The sequence below is a fragment of the Homo sapiens genome, chromosome 1, assembly GCF_000001405.40.
Source record: "Homo sapiens chromosome 1, GRCh38.p14 Primary Assembly".
In the NCBI taxonomy this organism is placed as follows: Eukaryota; Metazoa; Chordata; class Mammalia; order Primates; family Hominidae; genus Homo; species Homo sapiens.
In genome coordinates this window covers 8206117-8226980 of record NC_000001.11, presented here as the reverse complement: position 1 = coordinate 8226980, position 20864 = coordinate 8206117, and the positions used below count along the sequence as shown (strand labels likewise).

At 49.8% G+C, this 20864-nt stretch overlaps 1 long non-coding RNA gene and 1 pseudogene across 1 annotated transcript, besides 3 other annotated features; one reads left to right on the top strand and one right to left on the bottom strand.

Moving 5' to 3' along the window:
- Positions 9615 to 10116: an enhancer, noted in NCBI's record as "H3K27ac hESC enhancer chr1:8276925-8277426 (GRCh37/hg19 assembly coordinates)". NCBI's record gives its function as "activates a minimal SCP1, AML or CMV promoter by ChIP-STARR-seq in naive H9 embryonic stem cells {active_cell/tissue: H9 hESC(naive)}" and the evidence as "EXISTENCE:reporter gene assay evidence [ECO:0000049][PMID:30033119]".
- Positions 11771 to 18309, bottom strand: LINC01714 (long intergenic non-protein coding RNA 1714). The gene is made up of 4 exons (NR_125998.1): positions 18108 to 18309; positions 16386 to 16494; positions 12303 to 12356; positions 11771 to 11902 (listed from the first exon to the last, which is right to left on the bottom strand). It is a non-coding gene; the product is annotated as a long intergenic non-protein coding RNA 1714 (long non-coding RNA).
- Positions 14490 to 15689: an enhancer, noted in NCBI's record as "MED14-independent group 3 enhancer chr1:8271352-8272551 (GRCh37/hg19 assembly coordinates)". NCBI's record gives its function as "activates an origin of replication core promoter dependent on BRD2, BRD4, P300/CBP and CDK7 cofactors, and independent of MED14, by STARR-seq in HCT116 cells {active_cell/tissue: HCT116}" and the evidence as "EXISTENCE:reporter gene assay evidence [ECO:0000049][PMID:35650434]".
- Positions 14718 to 15012: an enhancer, noted in NCBI's record as "tiled region #13854; HepG2 Activating DNase unmatched - State 1:Tss, and K562 Activating DNase unmatched - State 4:PromP". NCBI's record gives its function as "activates a minimal TATA promoter and a strong SV40 promoter by Sharpr-MPRA in HepG2 and K562 cells {active_cell/tissue: HepG2 | K562}" and the evidence as "EXISTENCE:reporter gene assay evidence [ECO:0000049][PMID:27701403]".
- On the top strand, positions 20384 to 20547 carry RNU1-7P (RNA, U1 small nuclear 7, pseudogene; annotated as a pseudogene).

The window sequence follows — 20864 nt, the reverse complement described above, 5'->3', positions numbered from 1 at the left end:
GAGAGTATCAGCAGGAAGGCTGCTGAATGGCCACCTCAGGTGACACTCCAAGCAGACAGCACATCCCCCATGGCCATGTCAGAGGCAGTGGGCTCAGCCACACCCCTTAGCGGTGAGTCCCCAACCCTGGTGACTCGTTTCTTTCTCCTAGAGAGAACATAGCCCCGTGTCTCCAGAAGCTGTGGCTTCTCCCTGGGCCCCCCTGTGTCCCCAGTGGCACATGCCTTCCTATGCCTCTTCCTCGATTGCAACCTCTGTTGAGATATGAACATCAAATAAAATTTGTATGCCTTTTCCTCTGTTAATCTGTCTCTTGTCAGTCTGATTTGTGGACCCCAGCTGCTGAACCTAAGAGGGTAGAGGAAAGGTTTTCCTTCCTGATAGATACAACATTGCTGGCTTTGAAGATGTCCCGAGGAAGGGAGCCACATGAGCCCACGAGCAGTTCTGCACAGCTGAAAACTTGAGACAGAGTTTTGCTCTTGCTGCCTAGGCTGGAGTGCAATGACACGAACTCGGCTCACTGCAACCTTCACCTCCCAGGTTCAAGCAATTCTCCTGCCTTAGCCTCCCAAGTAGCTGGGACTACAGGCGCCCACCACCATGCCTGGCTAATTTTTTTTGTATTTTTAGTAGAGATGGGGTTTCACCACGTTGGCCAGGCTGGTCTCAAACTCCTGACCTCAGGTGATCCACCCACCTCAGCCTCCCAAAGTGCTGGCATTACAGGTGTGAGCCACCGCACCCGGCCCAAGTCTCACACTTTTGTTAGCTCCAGCAACAGGTAGCAGCTAGGCTCTTGTGTGTCACAGTCCTCTATAATCTTCGATCTTTTCCTGGGTTTAGAGCAGGGGTGTCCAATCTTTTGGCTTCCCTGGGCCATATTGGAAGAAGAAGAATTGTCTTGGGCCACACAGAAAATACACTAACAATAACAATAGCTGATGATCTTAAAAAAACTGCTTTAAAAATCTCAAATTTTTTGTTTGTTTGTTTGTTTGTTTGTTTGTTAAGACAGAGTCTCACTCTGTCGCCATGCTGGGGTGCGGTGGCACAATCTCGGCTCACTACAACCTCTGCCTCCCGGGTTCAAGCGATTCTCCTGCCTCAGCCTCCCGAGGAGCTGGGATTACAGGAGCCTGCCTCCATGCCTGGCTAATTTTTGTATTTTTAGTAAAGACAGGGTTTCACCATGTTGGCCAGGCTGGTCTCGAACTCCTGACCTCAGGTGATCCGCCCGCCTTGGTCTCCCAAAGTGCTGGGATTACAGGCGTGAGCCACCGTGCCCCACCAGGGCTGACTCCATTTCTAGTGAGGGAAGGACCATCTCTGACTAGTTCATCCCTGTAACCCTGCACCTGTCACACACAGTACCTGCACATTACAGGTGCTCTGAATATTTGTTGAATGAGTGAATTAATTATTTCTGGGAACTCTTCATCTTTTCTGAGAAGCCAAAAATGGCCCTGAGTTGGTTCATCTTCTCTTTGGGCCTGGTAACCACTTGGAATCTCCTCTTCTCCATAGACAGGAAGACACACATTAGCACACTGGACATTGCTGGTCCCTGGAACTGTCGTCTTGGTGTCCTGGATAGAGGTGGTGTTCCAAGAGGGATATTGATCCCCTGTGGCCGCAAGATGAAGCATATGAAGTAACTGCTTTGGTGCTGGGCATGGTGAACACAAGCAGGTATCACGGTGATGACGAGGAGGAGGAGGACAAAGGCATGGTGACGACTCCCTGGCTTACTGTTTCGGTTCCTCCCCAACCTCTTTTTGAGAAAGCATTAAGCCACTTCCTTCTCACACTTTCATATTTTCTCCTCCCCAGGATCAGGAATAAGGGCTTGGTTCCTATCAGCAAGCGATGACCAATTAGTACAGACAGAACAGAAGCCAGGCGGTGAATCACCTGGCAGATGGGAAGAAAATCCCCCAAGGAAGAACGGCATTCATGTTGCTTTTGTTTGTTTGTTTTAAACTTGCAAGTCTCTGCAGTTAGGAAATGTCTCTTATCTGTTTGCCTCTAGAGGCAGGAAACTAATATTCTTTTTTTTTTTTTTTTTTTTTGAGATGGAGTCTCGCCCTGTCACCCATGCTTGAGTGCAATGGGGCAATCTTGGCTCACTGCAACTTCCGCTTCCTGGGTTCAAGCGATTCTCTTGCCTCAGCTTCCTGAGTAGCTGGGATTGCAGACATGCCCCACCATGTCTGGCTCATTTTTTCTATCTTTAGTAGAGATGGTGTTTCACCATGTTGGCCAGGCTGGTCTCGAACTCCTGCCTGCCTCTGCCTCCTAAAGTGCTGGGATTACAGGGGTGAGCCACTGTGCCCAGCCAGGAAATGAATATTCTTGAGGTGCTGGGGAGACTACAACTAGGACTAGGAAGAATCTTCCAAATTGGATCCATGCTATGGTGATAAATTGAATGTTTCTTTCCCAAACTCATTTATCATATCACAAAATCTTCCAGATCAGATTAAATGATAGGAACATCAATCTTTCATCTAATTAGAGAAAATTGTAGGGAAGGAAAAAACCTTCCTCTACATTCTTATATTCTGTTCCTAGGGCACATGAATTAGATTGACAAAAGCAGATTAACAGGAGAAAAAGCATCCAAATTTTATTTATGTTTATTTTTCGAGACAGGGTCTCACTCTGTCACCCAGGCTGGAGTGCAGTGACATAATCTCAACTCACTGCAACCTCCACCTCCTGGGTTCAAGTGATTCTCATGCCTCAGCCTCCTGAGTAGCTGGGATTATAGGTGTGCACCACCACACCCGGCTAATTTTTTATATTTTTAGTAGAGATGGGGTTTCACCATGTTGGCCAGGCTGATCTCAAACTCCCAACCTCAAGTGATCCACCCTCCTCAGCCTTGCAAAGTCCTGGGATTACAGGTGTGAGCCACCACACCCGGCCTGCTGAAATTTATTTGATGTTAATGTTTTCATTTTTTCATGCCCAGAGGCTTTCATAGAAAAGAAATGAAGACGCAAAGAAGTGGTTAAACTTGGGGGGATTATGTAGCATTTTAACAAAGAGCAATAAGGTGTGGAGAAGTGACGAGACAGGAAAAGAAGTATGGGCCTGGAGGGGCTGTAAACTGTACGAATATGGGGGAAATGATGGAAGGTAAGGGGTATTTAGTTAGGTTTGTTTATGCAGATTCATCTCAGCGCTATCTCCATGACAAAGGTGGTTCTCCCTTCCTGGTACAATACAGAGGGGGACAGCTTCCCAGGGAAAATGTACACTCTGCTTTTAGGCAGGTAGGGACAGGCAGAGAGCTCTTCCTGCATCTGCTTTTTCTCAATTGCCTTCAGCTACAAATACTCCTTATGTCAAAATGGCACATTTTAGGGTGGGCATTCTTTTTGTTTTGTTTTGTTTTTTGAGACGGAGTCTTGCTCTGTCACCCAGGCTGGAGTGCAATGGCGCAATCTTGGCTCACTGCAACCTCTGCCTCCAGGGTTCAAGTGATTCTCAAGTGATTCTCCCGCCTCAGCCTCCCAAGTAGCTGGGATTACAGGCACCCGCCATCATGCCCGGCTAATTTCTGCATTTTTGTAGAGACGGGGTTCCACCATGTTGGCCAGGCTGGTCTTGAACTCCTGACCTCAGGTGGGCCACCCACCTCGGCCTCCCAAAGTCCTGGGATTACAGGTGTGAGCCACCCAGCCCAGCCAGGGTGGCATATTCTGATCCCCTTTGATTTTTAGAAGAAAGTGAGTTATAGCAGTGGTCCTCAACCTTTTTGGCATCAGGGACCAGTTTTGTGGAAGACAATTTTTCCACAGCCGGGGGCTGGGGGTGTTGGTTTCGGGATGAAACTGTTCTGCCTCGGATCATCAGACATGAGATTCTCATAAGGAGCGTGCAACCTAGATCCCTCACATGCGCAGTTCATAATAGGGCTCGTGCTCCTATGAGAATCTGGAGCCGCCACTGATCTGACAGGAGGTGGAGCTCAGGCAGTAATGTGAGAGATGGGGAGATGGGGAGCAGCTGTAAATACAGCTGAAGCTTCACTCAATCCCCGCCCCCCCCCCACCACCCGCCACCACCTGCTCATCTCCTGCTGTGCGGCCTGGTCCCTAACAGGCCACAGACCAGTCCATGGCCCAGGGGGGTTGGGGACCCCTGAGTTATAGTACCCTTAAAACTAGATAGAAACCCATACTAGAAGAAAATAGGCTCTTGCCCCCTAGAGACTCTGGCAGATTTATTTAGGAAACAAAGAAGGATCATTTAAATCAATATTAAATTACTGATATACAAATGAGGGCTTCTAAAATCATGAAAAACATGTTTTTCTCTTATATAAATTAAATGTTTTCCCTCTCATTGTTCTTGCTTGGTGAAACTTTTTTACAACATGAATGTACAAATTATTACATACGTCCAACTAGTGAGGTTGAAATAAATTATGGTTGATGTGACTGTCATTATCCAGAAGTGGGCAAATCATTTAAGAGAAAGACTTTTGACCGGGCACAGTGGCTCATGCCTGTAATCCTAGCACTCTGAGCGGCTGAGGCGGGTGGATCACCTGAGGTCGGGAGATCAAGACCAGCCTGACCAACGTGGAGAAACCCTGTCTCTACTAAAAATACAAAATTAGCCAGGCATGGTGGTGCACGCCTGTAATCCCAGCTACTCAGGAGGCTGACGCAGGAGAATAGGAGAATCACTTGAACCCGGAAGGCACAGGTTGTGGTGAGCCGAGATTGTGCCATTGTACTTCAGCCTAGGTAACAAGAGTGAAACTCCGTCTCAAAAAAAAAAAAAAAAAAAATGAAAGACTTTCTTATTTCTAGTAGAGTGCCGTGGCTCACACCTGTAATCCCAGCACTTTGGGAGGCTGAGGCGGGCAGATCACTTGAGGCCAGGAGTTTGAGATCAGGATGGCCAACATGGTGAAACCCCGTCTCTACTAAAAATACAAAAATTAGCCAGGCCCAGTGGCGTGCACCTGTAGTCCTAGCTACTCGGGAGGCTGAGGCACAAGGATCACTTGAACCAGGAGGCAGAGGCTGCAGTGAGCTGAGATTGTGCCACTGCACTCCAGCCTGGGCGACAGAGCCAGACTCTGTCTGAAGAAAAAAAAAAGATTATCTGTTTCTAGGTTTCCTAAAAAGCTTGGTCCTAGAATAGCGTGAATGGAGGGGATGGGGCTCCCTGGCCTTTAGGAGCTTTTTCCTCCTCCCACCTCCATGCCTCTGCTCAGCCATCTCTGTCACAGGAACTCAGCCCCAGCTCTCCCCAGATTGTTTTGGCACTAATGCCTGGGCCACCTCCTCCTCTTGAACTATGCAAAACACACGAGGCAAAGGAGCGCAGCTTTGGGCAGAGAATATGAAGTCCAGACCTGGCCACCTTCTGCCATCCAGGTGTTCATCGATTTTAGCAGATGCTAAGACTGACCCTCATTCATGTCTAGGAACACAATGAGTGATGCTTATTGGAAAATGTCTGCTTCAAGGCTGGGCGTGGGACTCATGCCTGTGATCCTAGCACTCTGGGAGGTGAAGGCAGGAGGATGGCTTCCCCCAGCCTGGGAAATAGAGTGAGACCCTGTCTCTCCAAAAAATTAAAAAATCAGCTGGGCATGGTTACGTGCACCTGTAGCTCCAGCCACTTAGGAGGCTGACAGGAGGATCACTTGAGCCCGGGAGTTCGAGGCTGCAGTGAGCTGAGAATGCACCACTGCACTGCAGCCTGGGCGACAGAGTGAGACCCTGTCTCTAAATAAATAAACAAATAAATAAATACATAAATAACCTGAAGCTCAAATCTGATTTTGGCTGGCTGTTTCACCTACGCTATTTAGGAGGGGTCACTGTCTTAGATAATGACCCAGTGCTCAGTACAGTGGGAAAGGTTTCAGCAAGAGTCCAGCTGACTGAAGCCACCACTCTCTTCCCATGGGGTGGAAATTAAGACAAGAAAATGAAATACGTGAGGTTCGCCACTGGCCAGCAGTGAGTGGATTGCAGGGCAGAGGCTGTATCGGTGGCGTCTAGGCTGAGGGTGATCTTGACAGGAGCTCTCCTGGCCCCCAGGGCAGGCCAATTTAGGTGGTCAGTATTTTCTGCTACAGCTTTTTTTTTTTTTTTTTTTTTTTGAGACAGGGTCTGGCTCTGTTGCCCAGGCCAGAGTGCAGTAGTGCATTCATGGTTCACTGCAGCCTCAAACTCCTGAGCTCAAGCAATCCTCCTGCCTCAGCCTCCTGAGTAGCTGGAACTGCAGACATGCACTAACACACCCAGCTAATTTTTTTATTTTTCGTAGAGACAGGGTCTCACTATGTTTCCCAGGCTGATCTCGAGCTCCTGGGCTCAAATGATCCTCTCGCCTCAACCTCCCAAAGTGCTGGGATTACAGGCGTGAGCCACTGCACCCAGCCTCAACTTTCTTGTAATGTTTCTTCTGCCCTTTGCAGGTCCTCCTGATGCCACGTCCACCCATCTACCTGAAAACAAAACAGGCACAGAGCACCTCCTGCTTGCTTGTGTGGTCGCAGGGCCCCGGCGAGTCACCCAATGCTGCAGAATCTCAGCCTCACACTATAGGTCTGTGATCCATCCACTTCCACCCACAGACGGGTTTGCTGGAAAGAGTAAAAGCAAAATTAAACAAAAGAGCATTATATTCTGTTCCTTTCTTTTAAACTCATCTGCTGGGCAAATGGAGTTTTACAATCTAGAGCTGAATGAGAGATGGCTTCAGCCAAATCCGAGTTTCTTTTCTTTTCTTTCTTTCTTTCTTAAATTCTTTCTCTCTCTCTTTCCTTCCTTCCTTCCTTTTTTTTTAGATGAAGTCTTGCTCTGCTTGAGATCTGCAGTGGTACGATCTCGGCTCACTGCAACATCCGCCTCCCAGTTCAAGCGATTCTCCTGCCTCAGCCTCCCTAGTAGCTGGGATTACAGGTGCGTGCCACCATGTCCAGCAAATTTTTGTAATTTTAGTAGAGACAGGCTTTAGCCATTTTGGCCAGGCTGGTCTCAAACTTCTGACCTCAGGTGATCACCCGCCTCAGCCTCCCAAAGTGCTGGGATTAAAGGCGTGAGCCACCATGCCTGGCCAAATCTGAGGTTTTTCAAAATAAATGTAAAATAAATTCAATAGGCTCTGACTCATGAGAGATCATGGAACATCCAGCTGTTCTGGGCAAATGTGAAAGAACCAGATTGGGCTTCCTTCAGCGTTGTGGAGAACCCCAAAGATTCTCCTTAAACACTTCCCAGGCCAAGGCACGTTCACTTCCAAGTCCAGAGTTTTTGCCAGACTTGCCTACCGGGACTGTAAGTCCACACCCTTGCTGGGCAATGCTGGGAAATTTCTGTAAGTCATCACAATTAATACATGGGAGGTGGCCAGCTTGGGGCAGCTTTGAAACCCATTTCTTTTTTAATTTTATTATATATATAAAGATGGGATTATATAGATATACCCATCTATATCTATAGATACATCTGTCTATATCTACATCTATTTATCTGTATATGTATATCTATGTCTATAGATACATAGAGAGAGACAGAGAGAGACAGGGTCTCACTATGTTGTCCAGGCTGGTCTGGAACTCCTGGCCTCGAGTGATCCACTTGCCTTGGCCTCCCAAAGTGCTGGGATTACAGGCATGAGCCACTGTGTCCAGCCTTGAAACCTATTTCTTTATGTCCCACTTTGCGTGTGTGTGTGTGTGTGTGTGTTTGTTTGTTTTTGTTTTTTTTTTTAAAAAAAAACATTTCTAAAGTAGCTTTCCAGCCAGGCATAATGGTTCACACCTGTAGTCCCAGCTACTTGGAGGCTGAGGTGGGAAGACCGCTTGAGCCCAGCAGGTCGAGGCTGCAGTGAGCCAAGATTGTGTCACTGCAGTCTAGCCTATACAACAGAGTGAGACCCTGTCTCAAAAAATAAAAATAAAGGGCTTTCCCTCAGCTGAGAGCATATTCCATCAGATGTCAGGGTGGAAGGAGAGGAAGCAGGTCCCTCAGGGCATGTTATGAAACTCCTCTATGGCACATGCTGTCTCTGCCAAACAGGGTTTCATGTCACCCTATGGAGCTCCGAAGAGAAGCACAAATTTAAGAGGATGTGGGTGTCTGACCTTCAGAGTGACGCAATAACCAAGTCATCATTTTCCTCAAAAGTCTCATGTGGTAGCTCTGACCACAGATGGAAATGACCACCTAGGAGCAGATGACCGTGCTCGAGGATTCCAAAGTTCTGTTTTCCATAAATCCAGGTGTCTTTCTTGAAAATGACTGTAGGAACATGGCTAGACAGGGGCTCAGGGGACAGGGAGGCTGCAGGAGTGATCTGTACCTTCCTCCTTTATGGAAGTTGGGTGGGCTCCCCCGACGGGGGCTGGGCCACATTTCATGTGAAGCATGCAAATCCTTGTGGTCTAACTCCCTTTACATCCCCAGGTCGTGGCAGCCCCAAATGTGGCTCCACCCCAAAGATTGGGCTCTCAGCCTCCGGTCCAGTCCCAGAGGCAAGCCGAGTGGGTCTTCCCTCTCCCTCCAAAGACAAGGCAACTGGTGTCCGAGTCATACTCTGAGGATAAACCTATTTCCTAAGCAAAAGCCTCTCCATCATGGAAAAGCATCCACCAGCCACGGTCCTCCCCAGGCTACCTGTGGGGCCCAGGAAGGCCTGCATGAAGTCGGGAGCGGAGCTTGTTGGGCGCCTGGTATTTATCAACTCCTGTGCTCCAGCCTGGGCGACAGAGTGAGACTCTGTCTCAAAAATAAATAAGTAAAAAAGTAAATAACCTGATCCTGTCTTTATCTAGGTTTAAACAAATCTCTTGCTCATGATGACTTGTTTGCATTAATTTGTATTTTTAAAAACACTGCACTAAAATATTATTTATGTTGAATAGTTTTTTTTTGACACCCCTCCTTTAATTTTGCACCCACAGCCTCACCCTAGTCCCTGGCCTGAGCCACATCCGCTTTCCCCAGGTCTCCCATTTTATTTTGAGACAGGGGCTCACTGTCACCCAGGCTGGGGTTCAATGGCATGATCATGGCTTACTGCAGCCTCAACCCACTGGGCTCAAGTGATCCTCCTGCCTCGGCTTCCCAAAGTGCTGGGATTACAGGCTGGAGCCATCGCTCCCGGCCCTGGATACTTTTAATTTTGCAGCTGGAGAAGGGAACACAAGGGGAATGGAGGGTTTGTTGAAATTAAAGCGCACGGCGAGAAAGGATGGGTCACTAGCATCCTCCTTTTCCCTGCGCGGGTGTCCCCGGAAGCACCCCCTCCCTCGCCAAGCCCAGCTTCTGCACAGGCTCCAGGAGACGTTGCTCCGGGGTCCTGCCGGGGACACCGGGCTGCGTCCCCGTCGGCCGCCGCGCAGATGCGCACTTGGAGCAGACTCGGGTTCCGGGGCTGGGGGAAAGAGAAACCCGGGCTCCAAACCCTCCTGGAAGTCTCTTGAGGGCGCGAGCTCCGCAGAGGCAGGAGCCTCCGCGCACGTGCACGCCCGAAACTGCTAAAGCCCACGCGCGAGCTTGACCGCCGCGTGGAGGCGCCGGCTGCGGGGAGAGAAGCCGCCCCGGCCCCGGCCCCTTCCTGCGGCGCCCTCCGGCCCTGGCCCCGGCCCCAGCCGTGCGCGGGCGGCCGCTCCCCCACAAGCTGGCCTGGCTGACCCAGCGCCGCCGCTGGGCCTTCAAAGGGCGGCCGCTTCCTGTCGCCCCGGGACGGCTCGGCCGAGCCCTCCTCGTCACGGGGCGGGCGTCCCCGCCGTCACCTCCTTTGCCCTTAGTCGGGAGGACGCCCCCCTACTGCACTCCCCGGCCGAGCTGGGCAGACCCCCGTCCTCCCACCTGGGGGCTCCTCCTTCTGCTCCCTCGCCTCCCTCTGCTCTCCGGTCCCCTCCCCTCGCCCTCATCTCTGGGAAAGTTGTTTCAGCCCTGAAGTGTGCCTGAGCACGAGCACCTTCTCCTCCTCCCTGTTCCCCATACGAGTCACAGGAATGACCCAAGGCACTGGATAAAAATTCAGATTCCTGCGGACTCTGATTCCGAAGGTCTGAGTGGTGGTGTTGGGGTAGGGGTGAGGGCGCCCCAGGAATCTGTACAACTGACAAGCAGAAGAATCTAATGGAGAAACTGGGCTAGAATCAGTCACTGACTGTCCTTGCTTAAGCCCGGGAGGTTGAGGCTGCAGCGTGCTGTGATTGTGACACTGCACTCCAGCCTAGGCGACAGAGCAAGACCCTGTCTCAAAAATAAAAAGAAAAAAGAAAAAAAGAGGAAAAGGCTGGGCGCGGTGGCTCAGGCCTATAATCCCAGCACTTTGGGAAGCCAAGGCGAGCGGATCACAAGGTCATGCGTTCCAGACCAGCCTGGCCAACGTGGTGAAACCCCGTCTCTACCAAAAATACAAAAATTAGCCAAGCGTGGTGGTGCACGCCTGTGATCCCTGCTACTCAGGAGGCTGAGACAGGAGAGTTGCTTGAACCCGAGAGGCAGAGGTTGCAGTGAGCCGAGATAAAGCCACTACACTCCAGCCTGGGAGTCTCAAAAAAAAAAAAAAAAAAAAAAAGAAAGAAAGAAAGAAAGAAAAAAAAAAAGGATCACTGCCTCCTTTTCCTTCCCTTCACTGTCAAACTGCTCTCTAAGCTTTGTCCAAGCTGGCTAACCCACCATCATCAAAATCCTCCAAGTATTCTTTTTAAAGCAAAGGAATTTTTGTGTTTATATAATTTCAAACTTACTTAAAGACATTGCAAGAATATGACCAAGAACTCCTACAAACCCTGGGCCTAGTTTCTCCACGGGGGTGCATTTTGCCACACTGGCTTTATCACTGTCTCCAAATAGATAAGGATTTTTTTCTAAACCATTTATGCAAGTAAATTGCAGAGGTCATGTCTCCTATCTCTAAATACTTGGTCATGTCTTTACTGAGGACAAGGACATTCATGGCACAGTTAGCAAAAGAAAAAGACTTTTAAGGACCCCCAGTGACTTCTGAGCTGCCCAACCCAATGGCCTTTCTGCCCCTTGGTCTCTGGGTCTCTGTCCCCCTGTCTCGGTCTGTGTCTCTGTCTCTCTGTCTCTGTTGCTCTATCTCCCCCGATTCTCCCCTTCCATGGGCTCCTCTCTGCCTGCCCCTGCGAGGTGGATTCTTCCAGGTCTTGTTTTCTGTGTTGTTTTACAGCCCCTCCCTGGAGCAGGCCGGGGATCCCCAGAAAAAATCAGCCGTCATCCACGCTCACGCAGTATCAGATCTTCAGCCTCGGCCCCTTTCCCTTTCTACCTGAATTTCCATGGCTTTCCAGGAAGGTCTGCTTGAATTCCTCACAGTTCTACTCGTTGTAAACTGGAAATGGTCCAGGTACATTGTCCCTGTACCCCCAACACCCCTGGCCCTGCCCAGGGGCTCTCCAAGAGGAAGCCTCCCTCACCTTTCAATCCTGCACCCCCACATGAGTCCCATGTGCGCTCTCCTCCTTCCTGACCTCACCCACCCCCTCCATTGCCCCAAAGGCCCCTGCTTCAGTTCCCAACCTCACTTGGTTCTCAGGCACCGTTAGCCGGTCCCCCACCTGCCTGGTCTCTGCACTGTCATGGGATTAGTTGGCTTTCTGATATGATCAGGCCCCTCTCAGTTTAAATCACTGTCCTGAGGTCCTTCCACTGGGTTCCAGAGAGCTGATTCTTGGGTCTCTGAAAATGTGTTCAAGTGTCAGGGGAGGGGGAGTCTTTCCGGGAAAAGGGTTATCCCTTCATCAAAATTTTATTTTTTAAATTTTTTATTATTAATTTTTTTTTATTTCCATAGTTACTGGGAAACAGGTGGTGTTTCGTTACATGAGTAAGTTCTTTGTGATTTGTGAGATTCTGGTGCAGAATTTGTGACATCTCCCCTAGAAAGAAAGAAAAGAAGCAACAGCCTTGGGTATTAAATTTAAATTCCACATGGGATCCAAGACCATTTCCTTTCAGCTCCACCCAGCTTTCCCAGAGCAGTTCCCGATGCCTCCTGCAGCAGCCAGTGTTTCCCAAACTTACTGGTCATGGGAATAACCCAAGGCACTGGATAGATAAAATAAAAATTCAGATTCCTTGACCCCACCTCTGTGGACTCTGATTCCGGAGGTCTGAGTGGTGGTGTTGGGGTAGGGGTGAGGGTGCCCCAGTTGTCTGTATAATTGACAAGCGGGAGAGTCTGCAGAGAAACTGGGCTGGAATCAGTCATGGACTGCCCTGCCATCAGGCTTTTGCAGACAATGCAGTTCCCTTTTTCTGGAATTTGCATGCACTCACCCTACCCCCTCCATGGATAAGTTCCTCCTTGTCCTTCAGTGTCCTGTTCAACACCTAGGACAAATTTCTGTGTCAAAGAATTTCTATGTCAAGGAATAGGCCAATTTTTCAACTTTTGATGGATGTTGGCAAATTGTCTTCCAAAATGTCTACCGTGTCTACCGGTTTACACTTCCACCTTTTTGCTTTCCTAAAACATTTTTTCCCTATTACAAAAATATTGTATATTAAGTGTAGACAGTTTAGAGAATACAGATATGTAAAGGGAATGTGGGCGGGTGTGGTGGCTCAAGCCTGTAATCTCAGCACTTTGGGAGACCGAGGTGGGTGGATCACCTGAGGTCAGGAGTTCAAGACCAGCCTGGCCAACATGGTGAAACCCCGTCTCTACTAAAAATATAAAAATTAGCCTGGCGTGGTGGCGTGTGCCTGTAATCCCAGCTCCTCGGGAGGCTAAGGCAGGAGAATTGCTTGAACCTGGGAGGTGGAGGTAGCAGTGAGCCGAGATGGCACCACTGCACTCCAGCCTGGACAACAGAGTGAGATTCCGTCTTAAAAAATAAAAGAAAAGAAAATAAAATAAAGGTAATGTGAGGAGACTACAGTCCCAGCAAACAGTTTTGTAACCCTCAATTAGGTGAATTCTTCCCATATTTTGTGTCTGCAGATGCACTTGGAAGTTTGACTTCAACTCGAGTCCCAGATTCACCTCTTACTAACCCCATGGCCTTGGACAAGTTACTTAATGTTTCTGAGTGTCCGTTTTCTCATCTATAAACTGAAGATGACGGTAGCACCACGTCAAAGGCTGTCACAAGATGCATGGCATTTAGCCAGTGCCTGGAATGTGACGAACTCTCAGGGCACTCTTCTATGACGTTGTTTGCGCCTTGCTTTCTTACTCCAGCAATACGTACAAACATCTTCCTTTTGTAGCAAAGGGACACTCCTAGCCTCAGTCTTTTATAGGAACCTCGGGTCTATAGCTCCAATCCTAGACCATCAGTACCACCAGTGGTGTTTTGTTGGTGTCAGATTTTCACCTGGTCCCACTCAGCCTAGCTACAAGTTCCTCCTCCCCCACCTGCCTGCCCCCATCTTAGTCACGTCATCTGTTCTCTGAGGCCTCCCGACAGAAGCCACCAGAATACCTCCCTCTCCCTCCACAGTTAACTGGGTTTCAAGCAGTTCTGTTATTTCACTCTAAAGGGAGAGAATGGAATCAGACAGACCTCCCTTTTTGTCCTGGCCCTGTTGCTTACACAGTGTGTGACAGTGAACAGCTATCTCTGTTCCCTGAGCCTCAGTTTCTTCATCTGTAAGATGGAGTGATAGCTGACCTGCCACGTAGGGCTGCGGTTCTGATGGCGAAATGAGACGGCTCGCGTAAGTGTGCAGCACCGTGCAATCAGAGGGTCAGTGCTCCACACACACAACTGCGATTGCACCACTGCTGTGTGATCCCCATCTCGCTTGCTCTAGCCCTGGCTGTCATTGCAGCCCTGTTTGCAGCACTGACATGGCCTCCTAACATGTCCCCACCTTCAATCTTTCCCAGGACAAATTTCAGTGTGTCACCAGGATGACTTTCCCAAGGCATATCTGCAGCAGGTCACTCTCTGCTCAAGACTTAGATGGCTACAGTCCCCCTACCATTGAACACCTAGAGGTGTCCCAGCCCCAGCATGGCTTCCACAGGCCCCGTGGCTCTGGATGCAGAGTCCGTTTCCAGCCTGAGATGGAGCTGTGCTCAGCACTTTCCCATCCCTCTTTGTGAGTGCCCACCACCTGCACGGAGACTGTTTCTTATTATCCCAGCAGCCCCCGCCGGGCTCAGACATCCCTCCTGGAGCTTGTATTTCCAGGTCCCCTCTGGGTCCCGCTCCCCTGAGCAAACACTTGGTGCACTGTCCACTGCCCACGCATCCTGCTCCACAGGGCTCTGTCTCCACCATGACCCTGCAGCCTCTTGAGAACAGATGCCCGTTCTGTTCACTTTTGCATCCTCTCTGCACCCCCAGCTTCCCTCTGCAAGCTTGAAATGTTTGTTCACTCTCTTGCTAATAAATAACATTTTTTCCCAGGTTTAGATGTATAAAAGTTGATCCACAGGCCAAAGGGTTTACACAGATCATTTACCTTTCCTGTGACTTATTCCAAGATGACAAGGACAAGGAATTTTAAAAACTGCAATGCCCATCACTAGAACTGACGTAGCCATAGACGCCTCTGACACATGTGTTAGGAAACACACCTATATTGAATGTCACATGCCTCTTTTTTGTGATTATGAGATGCGCATAGAACACATATACGTGGTTCTTATCTGTGGAAAGGCAGGAGACTAACCACAACGGTGTGTGCCCTCTCTCCCTCGGGGGCAGGAGAATCGTGCCCTAGCACACGGAGAGGGTGGGGTTCAAACGTGCACACTTGCTTTTCTTTCCTAAAGCCATGTATCGAGACTATTTGTTTAGTCCTGTTCTGAAAGATGATGCAACATGACTCGAAAGGAAGTGGGCAGTTGCCTTGCTGCCGCGAGGTAAGGAATGTCACGTCGCTCAAATGTGCTTCGCATTCCCAGAAATATGCCGCAGCTGAAAGGGAGGAGATGACTCAATGTTCCCCTAACTTTCGACATATCCACCACAGAGCCCGACCAGCGCTAAAGAGGGCAGGCTGGCAGAAAGTCCAGCGAGCGTGAGGGGCCAACACAGCGCTCCCCGCCTCCCCCGGAGGCCGCTATGGCATTTGGGGTGCAGAGCCCAACCGAGTCAACCTGGTGTGATTTTTTTTTTTCCAAGCTGGAATAACAGGGCCGTAGGTCCACATTGTGTTCGTGTGTTCTTAGGTAGCAGATGTCTGTAGAGGGGTACTTAGGGGAGGAAATGAGGGTGGAGGTGGCCTGCCCAAACTCTGCGAGTTTTCTAGCCATGGTTCTGATAATTAGCTTTGCGCAAGTGGGGGCCTTTGTCCTTAGAACGGGCTCTTTTAATATCACTCCTCCCTTCCTTTTTTTTTTTTTTTGAGACCGAGTTTCGCTCTTGTTGCCCAGGCTGAAGTGCAGTGGCATGATCTCAGCTTACCGCAACCTCTGCCTCCTGGGTTCAAGCGATTCTCCTGCCTCAGCCTTCCTGAGTAGCTGGGATGTTCCAGAGGGTAGCCACCTGTTCCTCCCCAGGCAGAGGAGCCTGGTAGCTCCACGACCCATCAAGAGTCGATCTCAGCATCTCCCAAACTCACTATCGCTGAAACGATCTCTGCTCCAGGACTCAATGCTTTTTGGGGATGTGGCAACTAAATTGGTAAAGAGACCTGCTCCCTGCACCGCCTGCGTGGGTGCTGGGTGCTGGGTGCTGGGTGCATAAAGCCCTTGCAGGTGATCACGAGGCAGTGGAGTGGAGCACCCGAGGCTGCTCCACCTGGGCTGGCTCCAAGCTCCCCATTTTCTGGGAGTCAGAATCGGAGCCTGGTATGCAGTCTCTCCCTCCGGGCTTCACTCTTTGCATCCGAAGACCAGGAATGATAACAGCACCTGCCTCAGGGTTGTGGTCAGGACAAAATAACTGCATGGTTTTGTGAAGTGCCTAGAAGGGTGCTGGATGCCATGATTCTTTTTTTTTTGAGATGGAGTCTCGCTCTGTTGGCCTGGCTGGAGTGCAGTAGCGTGATCTCGGTTCACTGCCTCCGCCTCCCGGGTTCACGCCATTCTCCTGCCTCAGCCTTCCGAGTAGCTGGAACTACAGGCTCTTGCCACCATGCCTGACTACTTTTTGTATTTTTAGTAGAGAAAGGAGCCTCACCATGTTGGCCAGGTTGGTCTCGAACTCCTGACCTTGTGATCTGCCCACTTCAGCCTCCCAGAGCGCTGGGATTACAGGTGTGAGCCACCGCGCCCGGCCTCATGATTCTTGATAAATGAATTAACACCAAGGTCGCCTCCCCAGGGAATATTCACTACCAGCTGGTGCCTTCACATGTGGGGTTCGCCGTCTCATGGCTTCATGAGCTTGAGTCTTGCCCCACGGTTTCTCTAAGGGTTAAATCCATGACCTCCACCAAAACTGAGCGTGAGATACTTACTGAGTCCAGCGAAGAGCAGAGACCACAGTCAAATTAAGAGAAACAGACTCAGAAGGCACGGGAAGGAACGTCGATGCTATCAGAAAAGCCAGATTCCACATAAATCCTCCTATTTACAAATGAAAGATTCAGATGACGGGGGAAGGGGCTGCTTGCAGACTCTTTCCCACATCTCTCGGCACAGTGCCCATCTTAAGGGGGAAATCAACGTTAAGAAATGACATTGGTCGGGCACGGTGGCTCACACTTGTAATCTCAGCCCTTTGGGAGGCGGAGGCGGGCAGATTGCTGAGCCTGGGGGGTTCGAGACCAATCTGAGCAATAAAGTGAAACCCCATCTCTACAAAAAATATAAAAATTAGCTGAGTGTGGTGGTGTGCACCTGTAGTCCCAGCTACCGAGGAGGCTGAGGTGGGGGGACCACCTGAGCCCAGGAGGTCAAGGCTGCATTGAGCCGTGATGTCACCACTGCACTCCAGCCTGGGTGACAGACCTAGGTGAAGACCTTAGCTCAAATAAAAATAAAAATAAAAAGAGAAAGGATAAAAAAGATATTTTTCACCCTCTAACCTGAGAATTCTTCCAGATACAACTGAGATAGGTCCACCCCCAAATTCCTCCGCCACCCAGGGCACGCGGCAGTCGGGACTGGAGAGGCTCCCTCAGCGGAGGCTACAGCCAAACATGAAGCTTGCATTCTTTTTTTCTTTCTTCTTTCTTTTCTTTCCTTTTTTCTGTTTCTTTCTGGTAGAGACAGGGATTCACCATGTTGCTCAAGCTGGTTGCCAACTCCTGGGCTCAAGGGAACTGCCCACCTTGGCCTCCCAAAGTGTTAGAATTACAGGTGTGGGCCACTGTGCCCAGCCCTGAAGCTTGCATTCTCCCTGGTCTTCGAGTCTCTGTTACCTCTGGAGCCATCGCAGACATCCAAGCGGCTGCTCACCTCTGGCCAGGCTTCCCCGGCCTATGGCCAATGTGGAAGCTCAGACCCTTGCCCTCAGATGGGCCCGCCCAGGGGGTTTAATTCTCTGCAATTGCCCTCTTGGACTTCTTTTTTTTGAGACGGAGTGTTGCTCTGTCACCCAGGCTGGAGGGCAGTGGCTCGATCTCGGCTCACTGCAACCTCCGCCTCCTGGGTTCAAGCGATTCTCCTGCCTCAGCCTACTGAATAGCTGGGATCACAGGTGTGTGCCACCATGCCCGGCTAATTCCTGTATTTTAGTAGAGAAGGGATTTCACCATGTTGGCTAGTCTGGTCTCGAACTCCTGACCTCATGTGATTCGCCCACCTCGGCCTCCCAAAGTGCTGGAGTTACAGGTGTGAGCCACGCGCTCGGCCCCTCTTGGATTTCTTAATACTTTTCTTTCTGACTTTGTGGTTTGTAAATGAAATCCAGTGGGACAAAGGATCTGCTGGCAGGAGGGCACGGACTGTGGGGATCAAGGACAGTTAGGGTTTCAGGGTTGGGACTCAAGCACCCTGCCCCTGGGCACCTGAGTCTGTGAGACTCCCAGAGATGTCTTTGAGAACCCCCCGTCCCAGGGAGCACACCATTCAATCACAAATAAAAACCACTGTGACAGGTGAAGGGAGGAAAGGAAAAAGCTTTTCTCCTGCTTTTGGAACCAGGAGTCCCGTGTTGTCGTGTTGCACGGGACCTGGCAGTGACATCGCTGGCTCTGCCTCTGGCCCCAACACATCCTCCAGTGTGTGTCTCTCACCTGGACGGGCTCTCCAGGCCGATGCGTTGGGATGCTGACTTTTAGAGTTTTGTGTGTGACAAAGCAGAGGACAAGCTTCCCCATCACCCAGAGGCCACTTGGTGGAGGAGCCGGGGAAGCTGCTGGCTTCTCGGGCTTTTGTAGTCATGGGTTGGCCACCGAAGCCCAAGGCCAACTGTCACCTACTCCAAGTCTTGACATCCTCATCTGCAAAAAGCAAAGAGATAACATGATTTTCAAGATGTTTTCTGGCTCTACGAATATCTGACGATTCCGAGTACACGATAAGGCTCATTTTCTGCTTGGGAAAACCCAGTGCTGGAGAGAACACAGGATCCCCCAGCTTCCCAACACCAGCCTAGGGAAATGATGTTCATCTGACAATGAAAATTTCTAGGGCCGGGGTGGTGACTCACACCTAGAATCCCAACACTTTGAGAGGCCGAAGTGGGAGGATCGCTTGAGGCCAGGAGTTCAAGACCAGCCTGGGCAACACAGCGGGACTCCCTCTCTACAAAAAATAAAAATAAGCCAGGCATGATGGTGTGTGCTTGTAGTCCCAGCTACGCAGGAGGCTGAGGTGGGAGCATTGCTTGAGCCCGGGAGGTTGAGGCCACGGTGAGTAGTGATTGTGCCACTACACTGCAGCCTGGGCGACAGAGTAAGACCCTATCTCAAAAAAAAGAGAAAATTTTAGAATTAGTGGCAGTGGAAAACGATGCAAAGGTTCCTATGTTTTGAGGTGCATCCTATAACCCAGATTTATTGTAGGAGAAATTTCATAGCATCTCAGATCCTAGGCTTGGTGGACAATGAGAGGGGAGGTTAATAAATATTCCTTCTGCCTTTGGGAGGGTAGAATAAAGAAGCTGATGTACAAATCAAAAATATTTATAACTAATAAATCCTATCAAAACCCTCACTGTGACAATGGGCCATAATTTTTGTTCTCTTTTAAAACTGCTATTGTCGACCAGCCGCGGTGGCTCACGCCTGTAATCCCAGCACTTTGGGAGGCTGAGGCGGGTGAATCACCTGAGGTCAGGAGTTCAAGACCAGCCTGGCCAACATGGTGAAACCCCGTCTCTACTAAAAATACAAAAATTAGCCGGGCATGGTGGTGGGTGCCTGTAATCCCAGCTCCTTGGGAGGCTGAGGCAGGAGAATCGCTTGAATCCGGGAGGCGGCAGTTGCAGTGAGCAGAGATCGTGCTACTGCACTCCAGCCTGAGTGACAAGAGTGAAATTCCATCTCAAAAACAACAAACAACAAAAAACAAAAAAACAAAAACTGCTATCATTGGGGGATAAATGGAAAACATGAGATGTAATTCATCATGGCGTCCTGCATTAGCTAACATTGTGTTGACGCAGAGCCCACCTCATGCTGACAGCTGCACGAGGTTCACGCACACTGGCTCTTTTTTTTTGAGATGGAGTCTGGCTCTTGTCGCCCAGGCTGGAATGCAGCAGCACAATCTCGGCTCACTGCAGCCTCCACATTCCAGGTTCAAGTGATTCTCCTGTCTCAGCCTCTTGAGTAGCTGGGATTACAGGCACAAAACACCAAGCCCAACTAATTTTTGTATTGTTAGTAGAGATGGGGTTTCACCACGTTGGTCAGGCTGGTCTTGAACTCCTGGGTTCAAGTGGTCTGCCTGCCTCGGCCTCCCAAAGTGCTGGGATTACAGGTGTGAGCCACCGCGCCTGGCCTCACGCACACTGGCTCTTATGTTAACATTCTCCCAGAGACCACGGAAATATGTTTAGAAAAGAAAGTTACAGATTGGCAGCAGAAGTCTCTGCTTCTGGATCATTATGTTAAGTCTAAAGACAACCAGAAAAGAAACGCTGCTCTGTGTCCCCGGTCATTGTAAAAGTCCCCAGCATGGAGCTCGTCAGATGACACTGCAATCCTATGGCCTCCAGGCAAATCCTTTTCTGAACTGAAAATGTGGTCTTTGGCCCCTCAAAACCAACTCACCGAGCCTGGGGAATACGACCCACTTATAATGTCCAAGACCTTCCTCTCATCCCAAGTTTATGACAATTTCCACCCATAATCAAAATTTCCTAAACTTACTTTCTGTTTTTTTGTTTTTTTTCATTTGGTAGAGACAGAGTCTCCTTCTGTTGCCCAGGCTGATATCAAACTCCTGAGCTCAAGGGATCCTCCCACCTCAGCCTTCCAAAGTGCTGGCATTTCAGGCATAAGCTACCGGGCCTAGCCTTACTTCACTTTTCTAAGAAACAGTATTATTACCTCATTAGTCAATAACGCTTATCCGCAGGGGAGGTACCAGGATCACGAAGGTGGTTTCCCAGGGCGAGGCTCATGCCCTGCACTCTGGATATGCTGACCCCGGCCATTTCTCCAAATGTGGGAAACGCAACTGCATCATTTGTGGTAGTTAGGGACTGCAATTCACTCTCTCCCCTGGTTCTAAATAAATCTATATTTTTTAAAAAAAGAATTGATTGGCCGGCCATGGTGGCTCACACCTGTAATCCAGCACTTTGGGAGGCCGAGGCAGGCGGGTCAAAAGGTCAGGAGTTGAGACCAGCCTAGTCAATATGGTGAAACCCCAACTCTACTGAAAACACAAAAAGTAGCCAGGCATGGTGGTGGGTGCCTGTAATCCCAGCTACTCAGGAGGCTGAGGCAGGAGAATCGGCTTGAACCGAATCTGGGTTGCAGTGAGCCCAGATCGCGACACGACAGAGTGAGACTCCATCTAAAAAAAAAAAAAGAATTGAT